The 20936-nt window shown below is 37.3% G+C and overlaps 1 long non-coding RNA gene across 1 annotated transcript; it reads left to right on the forward strand.

The window, feature by feature from the left end:
• The first annotated feature begins 17803 nt into the window (after window positions 1–17803).
• Window positions 17804–20059, forward strand: LOC112268468 (uncharacterized). The gene is made up of 2 exons (XR_002959799.2): window positions 17804–18056; window positions 19543–20059. It is a non-coding gene; the product is annotated as an uncharacterized LOC112268468 (long non-coding RNA).
• Window positions 20060–20936: the final 877 nt, after the last annotated feature.

Below are 20936 nucleotides of genomic sequence, written 5' to 3' on the forward strand. Positions count from 1 at the left end.
GGGAGACTAGCAGTTCTTATGACCTACAACTTACACCTATTATGTAAAAGCATTACAATAATTGACACTGGCAATTTTCTCCCTTTCTGCATCCTAAAAGTGTCTTTGTAGAAAAAAAAATACCTAAAATATTTAAATTTGTGAAGCAGAGATGCTATAAAATGTAGTTCACTGCAGGTAGACAACTGCCAGGAATATAATAATGATAGAAATCTGTGCATACGTAAGTATACCCCAATATATATCCCTATTATTCATGTAGCAATTTCTTTTTGCAAAGTGATAAGTAGAAACCAATTAATGGAAATACCAGTAAGAAGCAGTTAGGTAGGGTTATATTAGAGGATGCTGGCTAGATCAGAAACAAAATGTGGGCAGTCAAGAAAGGCATCAATGCCTACTCTAAGGAATTTCTTCAGTCATTCACTAGATGATCAGTAATGATCACTTGATTATTGAAAAGAAAATGGAAAATGCTTTTATGACATTGCTGCAGTGAGATGTCCATAATTAAATTGCTCTCAGTTTTGGCCTTTTATGTACTTCAAGATCCCTCATTGTGATGGTTAACACTGAGTGTCAACTTGATTGGATAGAAGGATACAAAGTATCAATCCTGGGTGTGTCTGTGAGGGTGTTGCCAAAAGAGATTAACATTTGAATCAGTGGGTTGGTGAAGGCAGATCCACCCTTAATATGGTGGGAACAATCTAATCAGTTGCTAGCAAATATAAAGCTGGCAGAAAAATGTGAAAAGGAGAGATTGGCCTAGGCTTCCAGCCTACGTCTTTCTCCTGTGCTGGATGCTTCCTGTCCTGGAATATTGGACTCCAAGTTCTTCAGTTTTGGGACATGGACTGGCTCTCCTTGCTCCTCAGCTTTCAGACAGCCTATTGTGGGACCTTGTGATCATGTAAGTTAATATTTAATAAACTCTCCTATATATGTATATGTGTGTGTGTGTGTGTGTATATATATGTGTATATATGTATACATATATACATATATACACACATATACATACATGTATGTATACATATATATCATGTAAGTTAACACTTAATAAACTCCCATATATACATATATACATATATAAAATACATATACATTATATATATAAATTTATATATACTTTATATATATGTATATGTATACACATATACATATATATATATATATAGATAAAGCTGAGGAGCAAGGAGAGCCAATCTGAGTCCCAAAAGTGAAGAACTTGGAGTCTGATATATATACACATATATGTGTATATATACACATATATGTGTATATATATCCTATTAGTTCTTTCCCTCTAGAGAACCCTGACTAAAACACGCATAGAGGAACAGAAAGGCATGATCTGGAAAAGCAGTTGCTACTCATTCCTCCTTTGCGCCTTTTACCACTTTGTTTTGGATGGGAGAAGTAAATGAACAATATATTTTGCTATGGTTGTTTTAAAATGTATTCAGCTTTAAATTAAATTAATACATGTCAGTGTTCCCTGAATTAGGTTTATAATCTTTTTAAAAACCCACAGTAATTGTATACCCCATTCTTCCTTCACTTACCTTAGTTATCAATCTCATGAAAGAGTTTACAATTCTAAGTTGTTTCCCCTTTGTATGCTTTTTCATTTATATCTACTATACATTTGCGGCCATTTTCTGATATTTGAATATTTAATACAACATTCTCACAATTGGAGGATAAAGATTTAAGTCTCTCATACATATTATCTACCCACACTTCACTTTCCTTCTTAATTTCTTCTAATGTAGAATTCATCTTGTAATGAATTACCAGAATTGGTATTCAGGATAAATAGTATTGTAATTTGTGACAACTGAGGATTTACTATTCAATTAACAAATTTCTATGGCTATATAACTTTACATTTTTCTGGAACAATTGAATTTTGGGGGGAGTGGTGTGCCTGGTTTTCCATTTTTTTATTCACTGCCAACAGAAACGTAAAACTTCTTCCCGTGTTGAGATGTGTGAGTATGTGTTTATATGTGTGCACTGATTTATTGATTACATTTTTTTCCCTGAGAAAATTTCTTCCAGATTAATTTTTCTGATTCCCCTCTTCAAATCTAGCTAGTTGTTCTCTAGGTGGGCTGCTTACCTGTCCTCTTTGGATTTTTCTTCATGTTATCTAGAGTATTCCCTTCACTTAGAAGGTGCTTTTTATCTTCTGTTTCATGGATTCTATGTTATCCTGCTTCTGGTTTAGTCATTTTGTGGAGCTTATCCTCTAGTAGCTTATGGAGAAATGGTGAATTCAGGAAAATTTTAAAGATACATCATGACTGAAAACAGCATTATTCTTTCCCTTATACTCATAGTTTGCCTGAGTATAGAATTCTGTATTGGAAATTTGGAGCCAGAAATTTTGAAGACATGACACTAGCATCTAATGCTGATGTTTAGAAATAATGTCAATCCTTTTAGTAACCTGTTTTTCTTTCTCAATAATTTTTAAGAATCTCTTTATCTTCACTCCTCTGAAATTCAATGATGATTCAACTTCATATGGCTATATTTTTCTGTAATTATACTGACAATTTGATGAGACCTTTAATTCTGGAAGTTTGTGTTTTATATTTTCTGTATTAGTGTTCATGTCTTTTTAAAATTCCTTATTCACTCAGTTACTTTCAGGGGACTTCCTAGACAGACTCCAATTTTATATAACTTTGTCTTTTGCTCTACCTTTTGAGATGTTACTCAAAATATTTCCTATGATTTTTCTGACAATTTTAATACATTTCTCATGTGTTAAATTTCAAAGAAAATTCTTATTTAAAATTTTCTATAATTTCTTAATTTTCACCAATTTAATTATGTTATAGGTAATTTTTTATTTAATCTTACCATAAAACATACTCATTTAATACTTAGCTATATACATTTTGCACATAAACAACACAAAAACATAATTTTTTCTCATTAATACACTTTTTTTTTATTTCAATATTTTAGATTCAGGGAGTACATGTGCAGATTTGTTACATGGGAATATTGCACAATGATGAAGTTTGAAGTATGGATCCAGTCACCCGGGTAGTGAGTATAGTACTTATCTGACAGGTAGTTTTTTAAACAGCTCCCCTCCCTCCACTCTCTAGTAGTCCACAGTATCTATTACTTCCATATTTATGTCCATGTGTGCTCAATGCTTTGCTCCACATATAAGTGAGAACATGTGGTATTTGGTTTTCTGTTCCTGCATTAATTTGCTTAGGATGACCTCCAGCATTATCCATGCTGCTGCAAAGGACATGATTTTGTTCTTTTTTATGGTTGCATAGTATTCCATGGTGTAACAAATTTTCGTTGATGGGTACCTGGGTTGATTCCATGTCTTTATTATTGTGAATAGTGTTGCAATGAACAAACAAGTGCATGTGATGTTTTGGTAGGATAATTTATTTCCCTTTATGTATATCCTCAGTAATGGGAATGCTGGGATAAATAGTAGTTCTGTTTTAATAACTACCTTTGAGAAATTTTCAGACTGCTTTCCACAGTGGCTGGACTAACTTACATTTCTACCAATGGTGTATAAGCATTCCTTTTTCTCTGCAGCTGCCACCGGAATCTATTATTTCTGGTTTTATCGCAATAGCCATTCTGACTAGTATAAGATGGTATCTCATTGGTTTTTCATTTGCATTTCTCTGATGATTAGTGATGTTGAGCATTTTTTCATGTTTGTTGATCACATGTATGTTTTCTTTTGAGAAGTGTCTGTTCATGTTCTTTGCCCAGTATTTAACGGGGTTATTTGTTTTTTGCTTGTTGTTTAAGTTGCCTATAGACTCTGGATATTAGGCCTTTGTCAGAAGCATAGTTTGTGAATATCTTCTCCCACTCTGTAGGTTGTCTGTTTTCTCTGTTGATAGTTTCTTTTGCTGTGCAGAAGCTGTTTAGTTTAATTAGGGCCCACTTGTCTATTTTTGGTTTTGCTGCAATTGCTTTTGAGGACTTAGCCAAAAATTCTCTGTGAAGGCTGATATTGAGAATAGTATCTCTTAGGTTGTTTTCCAGAATGTTTATAGTCTGCAGCCTTACATTTAAACCTTTAATCCATTCTGAGTTAATTTTTGTATATGGTGAAAGGTAAGAGTCCACGTTCAATCTTCTGCATATGGCTAGCCAGTTATCCCAATATCATTTGTTGAAAAGGGGGTCTTTTCCCAATTACTTGTTTTTGTTGTCCTCTGAAATCCGCAGAGACACAATGAAAAAAGGAAAACTTCAGACCAATATCCCTCATGAACACAGATGCAAAAATCCTCAAAATACACTAGCAAATCAAATCCAGCAGCACGTCAAAAAGTTAATATACAATGATCAAGTAGGCTTTATTCCTGGGATGCCAGGCTGGGTCACCAAATTCAAAGCAGTAAGTGTGATTCACCACGTAAACAGAATCAAAAGCAGAAACGATATGATCATCTCAAGATACACAGAGAAAAGCTTTCGATAAAATCCAACATCCCTTCATGATAAAAACCCTCAACAGAGTAAGAATTGAAGGAACATACCATAAAATAATAAGACATATCTATGAAAATTCCACAGCCAGCATCATAGTGAATGGGCAAGTGCTTAAACCATTCCCCTTGAGAAGTGGAACAAGACAAGGTTGCCCACTCTCACTACTATTCAATGTGGTACTCGAAGTCCTAGCCGGAGCAATCAGGCAAGAGAAATAAATGAAAAGCCTCCAAATAAGGAAAAGAAGTAGTCAAACTATCTCTCTTTGCTGATGACATGATTCTATTCCTGGAAAATCCTAGACTCTGCCAAAAGGCTCCTAGAATTGATAAACAACTCTAGTAAAGTTTCAGGATAGGAAATCAATGTACAAAAATCAGTGGTATTTTTTATACACCAATAACGTCCAGGCTGAGAGTTAAATTAGGAACACAATCCCAGTTATAACAGCCACAAAGAAAATGAAATGAGGCAGCGCTCCTTTCACGGGGGCACTAGCTGCAGGGGGTCTGTTCCTGCAGAGCCCTGATTCAGCGACAGATGAATAAAGTACACTGATACGCAGATACTCTGCACTGTCAGTCCAGCTGAGGGTCCGAGCCGCTTACAGGCTCCAAGCTGAGTTCTGTAAACAGTTGCGACTCGGCCATGATCAGCTAGTGAGACTCACATTTATTCAGTAAGACTAATTAACAAAAGTTGTGAGTAAACACCACTAGAGGGTAAAGATTAAAGGCCAGGTTCCCAGGCCTAAAGCAAACACCATTTGCGGGTGATAAACTTCTGCCAATCCCCACCCGCTCCCAGTAGGAGGCAGTAAAGTACCCGCGGTAGGACAAAGGTCAGTCTTAAGCCCATATAAGTAAACAGGTTAGTAAGATAAACTTCCCACATTCCTTTGTACTTGCACCCTAATCTTTCTGGCTCCTGAAAAGAGACCCTGGCTGCCTTCCACCAAGCAATCTGAAGCTATGCAAACTCTCACGGCCTTCCAAGAGAGTTTTTGACTATTACTATAACTATATTTAATATTTTTCCCATCAGCTTGATTGAACCCTAACAATGAAATACCTAGGAATACAGCTAACCAAGAAGTAAAAGATCTGTACAAGAAAAACTAAAAAATACTGCTGAATATAACCGTAGATGACACAAACAAATGGAAAAATATTCCATGCTCATGGATTGGAAGAATCAATATCATTTTTCTAATTCTTGTTTTGTGGAAGATTTTTATAAAAGGAAGATAATATTCACAAATGTATTTTCATAATTAAAATTAATATTTTGAATTACATGAGTATGACCATAAATGATGGGTCTATTACATTTTTAAAACTTCCATTAACTAAGGTAGGCATTTTTGAGAACTTTACGAGATGACATTGCGTTGCTCTCATGCCTATTGCCAGGGTGATTGCACAATAACTATATTATCTATTGCGTGAACAAAGCTTCCTCACTGGTCTCCCTAGCACCTAATTTGTTGCCATGTGATACATTTTACAGGCTGCAGCAGAACTAGTTTAAACACACATGTCACATTTCTTTTTAGAGAATTCAGTTATAGTTTTGCATTACTCTACAGCTAAAATCTAAATTCATTAATGTGTATGAACAGGCTCTGGCCATTATCCATATCTTTTGTCCACCTCTCTTCTCTCTTCAGTGTACTCTGACTAAACTGTACTAAATTTCTGTCATCTCTATTATCTATTTTTCCTCATATTCCATACTGTTTTCACTGTCTAGAACAACATTTTATCCATGCCAGTTTTGGGGGTGTTAGCTCATTCATTCTTAGAGAAATCCTTCAAAAATGGTTACTATCTGATACTTCCACTCTCATTTAAAAAACCACACTTTGGTCTAATCATTCTTTTTTTGTTTTTTGTTTTTTGTTTTTTTGTCTTCTACTATTCTGAAAAACTTAATTTTAATAGTAGTTAGGTGTTCTAAGATGTCAGCTTGACAATAGTGTGCAAGGTATTTAGTTAACTTAACCTTGAACTGATACTAACTTCAGTTAATTAATTGATATTCATTAGCTATCTAGATCATTTCTAAGTAAGGAAATGTTAAAACATTGTTACTGATGCCTCATTGTGAAGGTTTACTTCTGGGTTAACTTCTTGAGATTAGTTTATATTCCTTTTTTACTTACTTTTGGAGAAAAACGTTTTGTTTATTATACCCATAGAAATAGTTCTTGCATAGTCATATATGCTATTACATACAATTATAAAAAATATATTCAAGTTTTCATTTTAGTAATTAATACTGCTCTTCTTTTTTCACATTTGAGGAGTATATCTTGTTTTCCAGAACAAATAAGACAATGTGGCTTAGCAACTCTTATAAATATTTTAACAACGTTGAACTTTATCTGAATTTTGTGTTCCTAGGAAGTAGCAGCATTTAAGAAACCACCACTACTTCTGCCATTCGTTTATGTTCCAAGAAATGACTAACCATAAAAGACCACTTTACTCTTGTATATTACAAGAAAAGAGCTGTCACAATCTTTTCTCATGACTTCCATAAACCTTGTAATTATTTACCTGCCTTTGTAAAAATCCCCTTCCTTTCCTTTTCCTTACTTAACATTCTCTTTCTTAGAATAAATAGCATAAATAAAATTATCTCTTTAATTGTCCAGTGCATTTTGTCTTTCAAAGCTTTGATGCCAAGACTCAAAGAAAATTGAAACTACCATGGATCCATATTTATTCTACCCAGGTAATGAGGTCTGTTGGTAATAAGGTCTCTTGGTGTACCTTGTGCACTGTTCCTGATTAGCAACCTTCTCACTTTTGAAAGAAATACAATCATGTAATCTCATAGGTTTACTTTCAAAGTATTTTATTGTCATTTTGGTTAAATAGGCAACCAAATAATTTTCCCCTATAACCTATTATCTTGTCTTTATCAACTATTCAAATCTCTTGAAATATTTTGATATTTTGCTTTCCAAAAATAGTATTATGTCACAAAAGACCCAAACAAATGAAAAAACATTCCATATTCGTGAATAAGAAAACTCAAACTTGTTAAAATGTCAGTTCTTGCCAATTTGATCTATAGATTCAATATAATCACAATCAAAATCCCAGCAAGTTGCTTGTCAACATAGTAAACTAATTCTAAGGTTTACATAGAAAGTCAAAAGACCAGAATACCTGACACAATATTGAAGAAGAAGAATCAAGTCAGAGGACACTACCTGATTTCAAATCTTACTATGAAGCTACAGTAATCCAGACACATAGATTGGCAAAGTAACAGACAGATGGATCAATGAAACAGAGTAGAAAACCCAGAAATAGACCCTAACAAATATACTCAACTGATTTTTGACAAAGGAGAAAAGAACTAACAAATGAAAAAAAGATTGTCTTTTCAACAAATGGTGCTGAAACAACCAGGTAGCTAGTTGCAAAACAGTGAATCTAGACACTGACCTTACTTAATATAAATTAACTAAAAAATTAACCTAAATATAGAAGTAACTAAAAATCAATCTAAATATAATGCAATATGAAATGCAAAATTTCTAGAATGTAACATAGGATAAACTCCATGGTAACTTAGGTTTGGAAATGAATTTTTAGATACAACAACAAAAGCGTGATCTATGAAAAAAATTAAAATGTTAGACTTAATTAAAATTAAAAACGTCTGCTCTGTGAAAGATAATGTTAAGAGAATGGAAAGACAAACAACAGACTTGGAGAAAATATTTGCAAACACATATCTAATAAAAGACTTGTATCCAAAATATACAAAGAACTCTTAAAACTCAACAATTTTTTTTAAAAGTCCAATGAAAAAATAGGCAGATGATCTGAACAGCCACCTCAACAACAACAACAAATATATATATATGGCAAATAAGAATATAAAACAATGCTCAACATTATAAGTAATTATAATCGAAATGTAGGAAAATCCAAAACATGGACGGAATTAAATATTGAAGAGAATGTGGATTGACAGGAAATGTCATTACTGGTGGAAATGCAAAATGGTACAGCCACTTTGGAAGATAGTTTTAATTATTTATTTATTTATTTATTTATTTATTTTTTGAGATGGAGTCTCGCTCTGTAGCCCAGGCTGCAGTGCAGTGGCGCGATCTCAGCCCACTGCAAGCTCCGCCTCCCAGGTTCAAGCCATTCTCCTGCCTCACCCTCCCGAGTAGCTGGGACTACAGGCGCCCGCCACCACACCCGGCTAATTTTTTTTTTTTTTTGTATTTTTACTAGAGACGAGGTTTCACTGTGTTAGCCAGGATGGTCTCGATCTCCTGACCTCGTGATCCACCCACCTCAGCCTCCCAAAATGCTGGGATTACAGGCGTGAGCCACTGTGCCCAGCCGGAAGGTAGTTTTTAAAGTTATTACAAAACTAAGCATACTCTCATACTTTTATACTTTTACCATATGATTCAGCTACCACACTCCTTAGTATTTGCCCAAGTAAGTTGAAACTTCATGTCTACACAAAAATCTTCATATGAATGTTTATAGCATCTTGTTTTATAATTGCCAAAAATTGGAGAAAACTAAGATGTCTTTAAATAGGTGAATGAATTATTTAAAAAAAAAACCGTGGAACATCCATCTGAATAGTGGAATAACATCTGAATAATAGAATGTTATTCAGCAATAAAAGAAATGAGCTATCAAGCCACCAAAAGACATGCAGGAACCTTAAATGCATATTGCTAGGTGAAAAAAAGCCAGTCTTAAAAACTATGTACTGTATGATTCCAATTGTGTGACATTCTAGAAAAGGCAAAACTGTAGAGACATTAAAAAAATCAGCTCTTGCCAGGGCATTAAGGGTGAGGAGGAGGAATGAATAGGTAGAATAGGAGGAATTTTTAAGGCAGTGAAACTATTTTATATGATACTGTAATGGTGGATACACGAGCTTATGCATTTGGCAAAACCTGTAGAATGCACAATACAAAGAAAGAACCCTTATATAAACTATGGCACTAGTCAATAATAACATACTAGCATTTGTCTGTCACTTGTAACAAATATACCACACGAATGAAGATGTCAGTAATAGGGAAAACTGACAGGTAGAGAAAGGAAGTATACAAGAACACTGTAATTTCTGTTCAACTTTTGTATCACCCTAAATGACTCTAAAAGGTATATTAATTAAAATAAAAATTATAAATGATACCTTTTGAGCTTAAAACTGTATTTTTGATTTCCCAGAAGGCTTCTGGAAAATCACAAATGATTTCTTTCACTTCGAAAAGAAGGGGTGGCAGAAATAATTAGGTTCATTTAATATGTTACTGTTGATGCAATGTATATGAAGAATGGTCAAATCAGAAGAGATTCTTAGACTTTCTAGGGTTAAATTGTATTGCTAAAATGTTCTTAATGTATGGATTACAGAACATGTATGTGAAGTTCGTATGATTTGTCTTTGTCCTCACAGTCCATGGCATGTTTCTATCATTGTTCTTTGGCTGCTTTGCTGATATTAGACAATAGTATAGTATTTTCAGTAATAATTTCAGTTATTTGTAAGACATCAACTTGTTTGTAAATCTAGTTCTTTAATATAAACAGGGCATCTCTCTTAGGCCATTGGTTTTGAACTGGGGATTCATATCATTTAACTGTAGAGTTTTATTAATATACAGATATTCCAGATTTACATAATTTATTTTTATTCTTGATATATTCTGACTATATGTTTTGATATCTGGAGTATTTTCTTTGTAAATAATATGTCCCTTTCAGCTTTGTAAGTTAAATGTACTAACTGTATCTACTATTTTTGCAAATAGTTTTATTATGCTTATAAATTTTTGTCTAATATAATTTTGGATTGACTTTTATCTTATTTTGCATGCCACAGGAAATAAACAAATTTTCTTTTTCACTCGTATTATTCTTGTAATGAACTCTCATCAGATATTTCAGTTTTTTAAATTACTAATATTAAGTTACCCACAGCCTTTTTAAGTCTTTGTCATCTATGCATAGTTTTTGTTTTATTCTAATGCTACCCTGAAAGCACTTGTGATCAGCCTTAAGCCAGTATGCTTCATATTTAACAACAACAACAACAACAACAGAAACTGTGTTAGAGATCCATAGGAAAGGACTATACAAGGTACTTTTGGGTACAGGTTTCTGACAGCAGTATTTAAACAGCTTTTGGATCACTTCTTTGTATTTCCAAAACTCTAAGTAAGAGGTGGACAGGTTCACAATATGTTCACCAAAGATAGATCACGAAAAGAATTAATTATATAAGACTGAGTGTATTGATGAGAGATTATTGTGGATTTTGTTTCAAATTATTCTGATTTTTTATTGTTCTGTTTTTTAGACATACAAAGCGTCTCCTAATCTTTTCTTTTAAGCTATGTATAACTTATAACAATTTAGTAAACTATGGTTTTGCAAACTAAAATTATACATTTGTAAATGATATGTTTTTCACTCTGCCTGACCATTCCTGAATTCAAAAAAATCTTATTGAGTATCATTATTTTTGTGGAAATATAAGTCTTTTAATATATTCAATAGAGCATGTTTTCTTTGTTAGCAGGACATAATTGGAAAATATGTACCCAAAGCCTTGTCTGGGCTATCACATTTGAGGATGATGCTCACATACTCAGATATGACCATATAATTTTAAGGAACTAAGGTTGGCTTATCGAGACAATAATCACAAAGCCCTCTTGGGAAAACTACCTTCATACATGGCTTACAGGATTTCCAACATTACAGATGCGTAAAGAAGGCCACTTCCTATCAAGACCACAAAACTCAGAATGTTTTGGGGGCTTTAAGAAAAAAAAAGTAACACTGAAATTTAAAGGTTTTCAGGTGATGACCCGTTTGTTAGTTTCCTATTGTTGCTATAACAAAATACCACAAACTTGTAGACAAAACAAAATATTTTATTATCTTAAAGTTTTGTAATTCAGAAGTTTGAAATGGGTATCACTGGGCTAAATTCAAGATACTAGAATGTCTACATTCCTTTCTGTAGACTGTAGGAAATAATTCAATTTCTTTCCTCTTCCAGCTTTTAGAAGCCACCCCTATTCTTTAATTCCTTGGCTTGTGACTACCTTTCTTCATTTTCAAAGCCAGCAAGTACAAGTTGATTTCATCACAACTCATAATTTGGATTCTCTTTTTCTGCTTCCTTCTTCCCTATTTAAGAACAGTAAACTTTATATAGGTACCATCTGTATAATCCAGGATAATCTCTCTGTTTTATGATCAGTTGAATAGCAACCAATTCGATCTTGAATTGTAATTTCCCCTTCTCATATAAAGTTGTATATTCATAGGTTCCAGGGATTAGGATGTGGACATCTTTGTGGAGGGCATTGGTCTGACACCACACCAGCTCTTGGCTTGACTTCTAGTTTTAAGAGACTTTTAAAAGTACAATATTAGATTTTCTTTTTAATGAAAACTTCCAGCAAATCAAAATTTAAAAATCCAATATGGTAATTTACTACTCTTGCCCCTCCTATGTAATAATCCAGCCAAATCTAATGGTACTACTATCTAATAATAATACTATTTTGTGATCAAGAATAATCTTTCTTTGAAATTAGTTTTTATCAAAAAAGGGGTCACTCTGAAGAGAAACTTTGTGAATCAGTTACAAACAATGTGTCATCTATAGCATATCCTTTTGGTTTATCAAATTCTAGCCCTATTCATTCTGAGCTATCTGGAGCCCACATTCATCTTTAGCTATTTTTCACCACTATGTAATTTGCCAATAGCTGATGAATATGCAAATTCTGTTTTGCCTGATGGACATTTAATTGACTTCCTAACCTTCCATATAAAATCAGTTTTGGTACCTACTTATAGATTAGACAGATATTATTACCTTGTCCAAGTTGTCAATCCTTGACAAAATTTCAATTCTCCAAGTTTTCTTTAATATCTGTCAATAGCCCTCCAAACTAAGTTTTCCAATCTTTCTCCTTCCTCAGTGTCACCAAGAAGTAAAACTTGACTTTGCATATCTTTATCTTGACTCTGATTGTGTTGGGGCTGGCCATTTTACCAGGATCTGAAGAAGTTCTGCAAGTGGAACCTTGGCTACTTGATATAAATCTTGAAGGACTAACCACTGCAAGAGACCATCCATGGGCCCAAATTCTTCCTGTACAAGGTCCTATCTGGATCATTAAGGAAGTCTAGCAAAATATCCATGTCATGATACAAGAGGTAACCAGACTATGGTCAGCATCCACCAAGGCATCAATTTTCTAGCTTGAGAGTTTTGAGAACTCAATTAGTAGTGCTGCATAACCTCCTGGAATCCACTAGACTGGTTAATCTCAGGGTCCAAACCTGGATTCTTTATTTTAATACAATATTTTATATCAATATTTCTCTTTTTCATTATTTTAGGCTTCCCTCTTTTAAGATTCCTAAACTCCAGGACAAGAACAGTCATAACAAGGGTTCTCAACTCTGCTGAGCCATTCAACAGATGGTTCAACCAGTTTTACAGAAAAAAAAAAAAAAGAATCTTCCAGTGACTATTTCTGACATGCTTCTTTGCCTCACTCAGAAAGTTAATGATCAACTCAAGTTATTTAGCAATGAAGACATTTGTCTTGTACAAAAAGAGGGATTGACAATTTCGAACATTATCATGATCTCTATAAGACTCAAGTGACACACTTGTTTATTTGCCTCCATAAAACACCAGACCCCTTTCTTTCTTTGAGACATTTCTCATTAATTAATGTTCTCTCTATGACCATAACCTTAATAAAATAATCTCCTTAACAGTCTACTGCACTTAGTCTTTCACAAGTTCAACCTTTTATAATAGGCTTCTTTATCACCAATAAACTAATTACATAATCATAGAAATAAATATGATAGTGATGATGATGATATTGAATACATACTGCTTATTCTGTTCTTAGCATGTTATATATAACAACGATTTAATCTTCATTACAAACCTATGAAGTAGACAATGTTAATATCTCCATTGAACCAGTGAGAAAAATCTGAGAACAAAGATATTAGGTAAGTAGATCAAGGTCACAGAGCTTGTAAGTTATAGAACCAAGTTTCAAACACAGGCTGCCTGGTTCCAAGGTCTGTGCTCTTAACACTTATGCCAACTGCCTTACTGTTAAGCCTCTAAAAATAACTTTTCTTCATCCAGAAGACTCCTCCAATATGGTTCTGTTTTTTTAATCCCTGTTGTGATTACCTTTCTTAAGGTGGTGCAATACAATCGCCCTAAGTGTTCTGCTCTCTGTGGCTGTGTATAAGAGAACAAATGATAAAGTACTTTTTCCTCCAAACAAAATTCTTCATACATTATATATTTTTTTAAAAAATTTACTTTCATGGTGTAGTTTTATTATCATTGTATTTATATTTGAAAAATATATTTGAGTACAATTTTCATAAACATTGTCTCTAGAGCTAGACTGCCTTGGTTTGAATACCTGCTTCAATGTTTACCAGCTATGTATCACTTTGCACATATTATTTAATCACTCTAATCCCTGGCTTCATCCTCTGTAAACTGGGAATAATAAAGAGAACCAACTCCAAGCATATATGTGCTATCTAGTGAGATAACAAATGGAAAACACTACTTGGAACATAAAAAGCACTTAATCACTATCATTTTTTTAACTCTACATTTCACTGTAATCTCTTTAAGTTCAGCAGTGAGTTTATACTTCTCTTTATATTCCATTTGTAAGACACCAAATTCAACCCACTATATGCTCAATAGTTTTTTATAAACATAATTTATGTCCATTAGACCGACAGCACAGAGGTAATTTCTTTATGATTTATACTTAAACATAGTATTTCTACCATTGTTTAGTATGGTCACATAACCACATAAAATATTCTGCTGTTGATTACTTACTTAATTACTTGAAAGACCTCAGTTTTTTTCTAAAAATTTGATAGCTATAATATGTACACTATTATAAATTAAATAGATATTCATATACTTATATATATTATATATATACATATCAGGACAATCTTACTCCAGGTAACTCCTTCTCTCTGTATTTCATAGGCTTATTACCAGAAATAAATTTGATAATGCAAATGAAAATATTTGTAAAGTACTGCACAAAAATTTAATAAACTATGATATTTATATGATTAATATCTAAAAATGGGGAAGAGAATAAGGTCATATGGAATTGATCTACATCTGGTTATCTTCAACTAGATGCCTAATATCCTAAAGATTTCAAAAAATTGGAATCATTTTCTCCCCAATGAAGCAATTTATATCTAGCTTAAAGTATAATGTAAGTAATGAAAAAATAGCTCTTCTCAATCAGTTCTGACCTAAATCCAAGTCCTATAACAATCTTTCAAATGTATCCATTCTTTTTCTTATTCCTTATTTCTAAAACTCATGTTTATCCTGTTATTTCTTGATTTTTAATTTTGAGTCTATATGTACTGTGGCAGTGTTTACTTCTCTCTTGTACTTTCCCAGTTCTGACATAGTCACCCTTTCCCATCTCCCAGTGAATCTTGTATTAGTTCATTTTCACACCACTAATAAGACATACCTGAGTCTGGGTAGTTTATAAAGGAAAGAGGTTTAAATGATTCACAGTTCAGCATGGCTGGGGAGGACCCACAACCATGGTGAAAGGCTAAGGAGCAACAAAGGCATGTCTTACATGGTGGCAGGCAAGAGATTGTGTGCAGAGGAACTGCCCTTTGTAAAACCATCAGATCTATTGAGACTTACTCACTATCATGAGAATAGCATGGGAAAAACCCGCCCCTATGATTCAATTACCTCCCACTGAATCCCTCCTATGACACGTGGTGATTATGAGAGCTACAATTCAAGATGAGATTTGGGTGCAGACACAGCCAAACAATATCATTCTGCCCCTGGCCCCACCCAAATCTCATGTCCTCACCTTTCAAAACCAATCATTCCTTCCCAGCAGTTCTCCAAAGTCTTAACTCATTTCAGCATTAACTCAAACGTCCACAGCCCAAAGTCTCATCTGAGACAAAGCAAGTCCCTTCTGCCTAAGACCCTATAAAATTAAAAGCAAGTTACTTACTTCCTAGATACAATAGGGGTCCAGGTAAATACATTCCAAATGGGAGAAATTGGCCAAAATGAAGGGGCTCCAGGCCCAACACAAGTCCAAAATTTAATAGAGCAGTAATTAAGCCTTAAATTACCAAAATAATATCCTTTGACACTATGTCTCAAATACAAGTTACGTTAATGCAAGACGTGGGTCCCCAAGCCTTGGGCAGCTTTGCCCCTGTAGCTTTGCAGGATACAGTCCCCCTCCTGGCTGCTTTCACAGGCTGGTGTTGAGTGTCTGCGGCTTTTTTAGGCACACAGTGAAAGCTGTCTATAGATCTACCATTCTGGAGTCTGGAGAATGATGGCCCTCTTCTCATGGCTCCACTAGGCAGAGCCCCACTGGGGATTCTGTGTGGGGGCTCCTACCCACATTTTCCTTCTGCACTGCCCTAGCAGAACTTCTCCACAAGGACGCTGCCCCTGTAGCAAACTTTTGCCTGAACATCAGGGCTTTTCTACATATCCTCTGAAATCTAGGTGAAGGTTCCCAAACCTCAATTCTTGACTTCTGTGCAACCACAGGCTCAACACCACGTGGAAGCTGCCAAGCTTGGGGCTTGCACTCTCTGAAGCCATGACCCAAGCTGTGCCTTGGCCCCTTTTAGCCATGATTGGAGTGGCTGAGACACAGAGCACCAATTTCCTAGGCTGCACACAGCAGGGGGATCCTGGGCCTGGCCCACAAGACCACTTTTTTCTTTCTAGGCCTCTGGACCTGTGATGGGAGGGACTGCCACAGAGGTCTCTGACATTCCCTGGAGACATTTTCCCCATTGTCTTGGTGACTAACATTTGGCTTCTCATTATTCATGCAAATTTCTGCAGCTGGCTTGATTTCTCCTGAGGAAGCAGGGTTTTCTTATCTACTCCATAATCAGCCTACATATTTTTCAAACTTTTATGCTCTGCTTTCTCTTGAATGCTTTGCTGCTTAGAAATTTATTCTGCCAGATACCCTACATCATCTCTCTAAAGTTCAAAATTCCACAGATCTCTAGGATAGGGGCAAAATGCCGACAGTCTCTTTGCATAGCAAGAGTGACCTTTACTGCAGTTCCCAACGACTTCCTCATCTCCATCTGAGACCACCATATCATTATCAATATTTTGGTCAAAGCTGTTTAACAAGTCTCTAGGAAGTTCCAAGGTTTCCCACATCTTGTCTTCTGAGCCCTCCAAGTTTCTAGGAAGTTACAAACTTTCCCACATTTTCCTGTCTTCTTGTGAGGCCTCTGAACTGTTCCAACTTCTGCCTGTTACCCAGTTTCAAAGTTGCTTCCACATTTTTGGGTATCTTTACAGGAGCACCCCACTACCCAGTACCAATTTACTGTATTAGTTTATTTTCATGTTGCTAATAAAGCCATACCCATATGAACACCAACAACTAAGACAGGTCTTAGTAAATTTAGAAAGTTTATTTTGCCAAGGTTGAGGACATGCACCTCCTGAGGACCACATGTGCCCAAGGTGGTGAGAGCACAGCTTGGTTTTATACATTGTAGGGAGACATGAGACATCAATCAATATATGTAAAGTGAACAATGGTTCAGTCCAGAAAGGTGAGGCAAATCCAGGTGGGGAGGGGGCTTCCAGGTCACAGGTAGGTGAGAGACAAATGTTTGCATTCTTTTTAGGTTCTGATTAGCCTCTCCAAAGGAGGCAATCAGATATGCATTTATCTAAGTGAACAGTGGGATTACTTTGAATAGAATGGGAGGCATGTTTGCCCTAAGAAATTGCAAGATTGAATTTTTCTTTTAGCTTAGTGATTTTGGGGCCTGTCAGGCCTCTGAGCCCAGGCCAGGCCATCGCATCCCCTGTGACGTGCACGTATACATCCAGATGGCCTGAAGTAACTGAAGATCCACAAAAGAAGTAAAAACAGCCTTAACTGATGACATTCCATGACTGTGATTTGTTCCTGCCCCACCCTAACTGATCAATGTACTTTGTAATCTCCCCCACCCTTAAGAAGGGACTTTGTAGTCTCCCCCACCCTTAAGAAGGCTCTTTGTAATTCTCCCCACCCTTGAGAATGTACTTTGTGAGATCCACCCCTGCCCACCAGAGAACAACCCCCTTTGACTGTAATTTTCCATTGCCTTCCCAAATCCTATAAAATGGCCCCACCCCATCTCCCTTTGCTGACTGTCTTTTCGGACTCAGCCCACCTGCACCCAGGTGAAATAAACAGCTTTATTGCTCACACAAAGCCTGTTTGGTGGTCTCTTCACATGGATGGGTATGAAATTTGGTGCCGTGACTCGGATCGGGGGACCTCCCTTGGGAGATCAATCCCCCGTCCTCCTGCTCTTTGCTCCGTGAGAAAGATCCACCTACGACCTCAGGTCCTCAGACGGACCAGACCAAGAAACATCTCACCAATTTCAAATCTGGTAAGCGGCCTCTTTTTACTCTCTTCTCCAACTTCCCTCACTATCCCTCAACCTCTTTCTTCTTTCAATCTTGGCGCTACACTTCAATCTCTCCCTTCTCTTAATTTCAATTCCTTTCATTTTCTGGTAGAGACAAAAGAGACACGTTTTATCCGTGGACACAAAACTCCGGCGCCAGTCACGGACTGGGAAGGCAGCCTTCCCTTGGTGTTTAATCAATGCAGGGACGCCTCTCTGATTATACACCCACGTTTCAAGGGTGTCAGACCACGCAGGGGCGCCTGCCTTGGTCCTTCACCCTTATTGGCAAGTCCCGCTTTTCTGGGGAAGGGGCAAGTACCCCAACCCCTTCTCTCCTTGTCTGTACCCCTTCTCTGCTTTTCTGGGGAAGGGGCAAGTACCCCAACCCCTTCTCTCCTTGTCTGTACCCCTTCTCTGCTTTTCTGGGGAAGGGGCAAGTACCCCAACCCCTTCTCTCCTTGTCTCTACCCCTTCTCTGCTTTCCTGGGGCAGGGGCAAGTGCCCCTCAACCCCTTCTCCTTCATCCTTAGCGGCAAGTCCCACTTTCCTGGGGCAGGGGCAAGTACCCCTCAACCCCTTCTCCTTCACCCTTAGCAGCAAGTCCTGCTTTTCTAGGGGGCAAGAACCCCGAAACCCCTTCCCTCTGTGTCTCTACATTCTCTTTTCTCTGAGTTTGCTTCCTTCACTATGGGCAACCTTCCACCCTCCATTCCTCCTTCTTCTCCCTTAGCCTGTGTGCTCAAGAACTTAAAACCTCTTCAACTCACACCTGACCTAAAACCTAAATGCCTTATTTTCTTCTGCAACACTGCTTGGCCCCAATACAAACTTGACAATGGCTCTAAATGGCCAGAAAACGGCACTTTCGATTTCTCCATCCTACAAGACCTAAATAATTTTTGTCGAAAAATGGGCAAATGGTCTGAGGTGCCTTACGTCCAGGCATTTTTCACACTTCATTCCCTCCCTAGCCTCTGTTCCCAATGTGATTCCTCCCAGATCCTCCTTCTTTCCCTCCTGCCTGTCCCCTCAGTCCCAACCCCAAGCATCGCTGAGTCTTCCCAGTCTTCCTTTTCTACAGACCCATCTGACCTTTCCCCTCCTCCCCAAGCTGCTCGTCACCAGACCGAGCTAACTCCCGATACTTCCTCAGCCTCCACTCCTCCACCCTATAATCCTTCTATCACCTCCCCTCCTCACACCTGGTCCGGCTTACAGTTTAGTTCCGCGACTAGCTCTTCCCCACCTGCCCAACAATTTCCTCTTAGAGAGGTGGCTGGAGCTGAAGGCATAGTCAGGGTACATGTACCTTTTTCTCTATCAGACCTCTCTCAGATCAGTCAACGTTTAGGCTCTTTCTCATCAGACCCCACTAAATATATACAGGAATTCCAATATCTAACTCTGTCCTACAACTTAACCTGGAGTAACTTAAATGTCATCCTGACTTCTACCCTCTCCCCAGATGAACAGGAAAGAGTTTTTTCTCTAGCCCAATCTCATGCTGATAACCACCGGCTTCATGAGCCAGACCTCCAGGAAGGCATTAGAGCAGTTCCCTGAGAGGATCCCCAATGGAACCACCAGGCAAATTTCCCAGGGACCCACTGGAAATCAGACTGCCCAGCTCGCCCGGGAGCCACTCCTAGAGCCCCTAAAGCTCTAGCCCAAGGCTCTCTGACTGACTCCTTCCCAGATCTGCTTGGCTTAGTGACTGAAGATTGACGCTGCCCGATCGCCTCGGAAGCCCCCTGGACCATCACAGATGCCGAGCTTTGGGTAACTCTCACAGTGGAGGATCCCCAGCCATATGAAGACACCCTAGCTGTACGATCAGTTCTTGTTAAGAATCTGACCCCTCAAACTCTACAACCTCGATGAGCCGGATCCTACTTAGTCATCTATAGTACCCCGACTGCCGTCCGCCTGCAGGATCCTCCCCACTTGGTTCACCGTTCCAGAATAAAGCTGTGTCCATCGGACAGCCAGCCTAATCCCTCCTCTTCCTCCTGGAAGTCGCAAGTACTCTCCCCTACTTCCCTTAAACTCACTCGTATTTCTGAAGAACAGTAATAACTCTTATGAGCCTAATACATCCCTTCATTCTATTAGGTCTTTTCGTCCTTACCCTACATTTTGCAACAGGGCTTTATGAAGCCACCCCCACCACTTAGGCTGAGCCCCAAAAAACTAGTCATCCCTACTATCTTCTGTCCGGTCATACTCCTATTCTCCATTCTCAACTACTTATAAATGCCCTACTCCTGTTTACACTGCTGGTTTACACTGTTTCTTCAAACCATCACAGCTGATATCTCTTGGTGCTATCCCCAAACTGCCACTCTTAACTCCCTCTTAGAGTGGGTAGATGATCTTTGCTGGCAAGGCACCCTCCAATACTTCCACCCTGATGAAGTTCTATTCTTTACTTTTTACTCACTCTTATTCTCATTCCCATTCTTATGCCACCCTCTACCTCTCCCCAGCTATCTCCACCACACTATCAACCTTACCCATTCTCTCCTAGCCGCTTCTAATCCCTCCTTGGCGAACAACTGCTGGCTTTGCATGTCTCTTTCTTCCAGTGCCTACACAGCTGTCCCCGCCTTACAGACAGACTGGGCAACACCTCCCGTCTCCCTACACCTCTGAACTTCCTTTAACAGCCCTCACCTTTACCCTCCTGAAGAACTCATTTACTTCCTAGACAGGTCCAGCAAGACTTCCCCAGACATTTCACATCAGCAAGCTGCCGCCCTCCTTCGCAATTATTTAAAAAACCTTTCTCCTTATATTAACTCTACTCCCCCCATATTTGGACCTCTCACAACAAAAACTACTATTCCTGTGGCTGCTCCT

The sequence above is a fragment of the Homo sapiens genome, chromosome 4 (assembly GCF_000001405.40).
Source record: "Homo sapiens chromosome 4, GRCh38.p14 Primary Assembly".
Classification (NCBI taxonomy): Eukaryota; Metazoa; Chordata; class Mammalia; order Primates; family Hominidae; genus Homo; species Homo sapiens.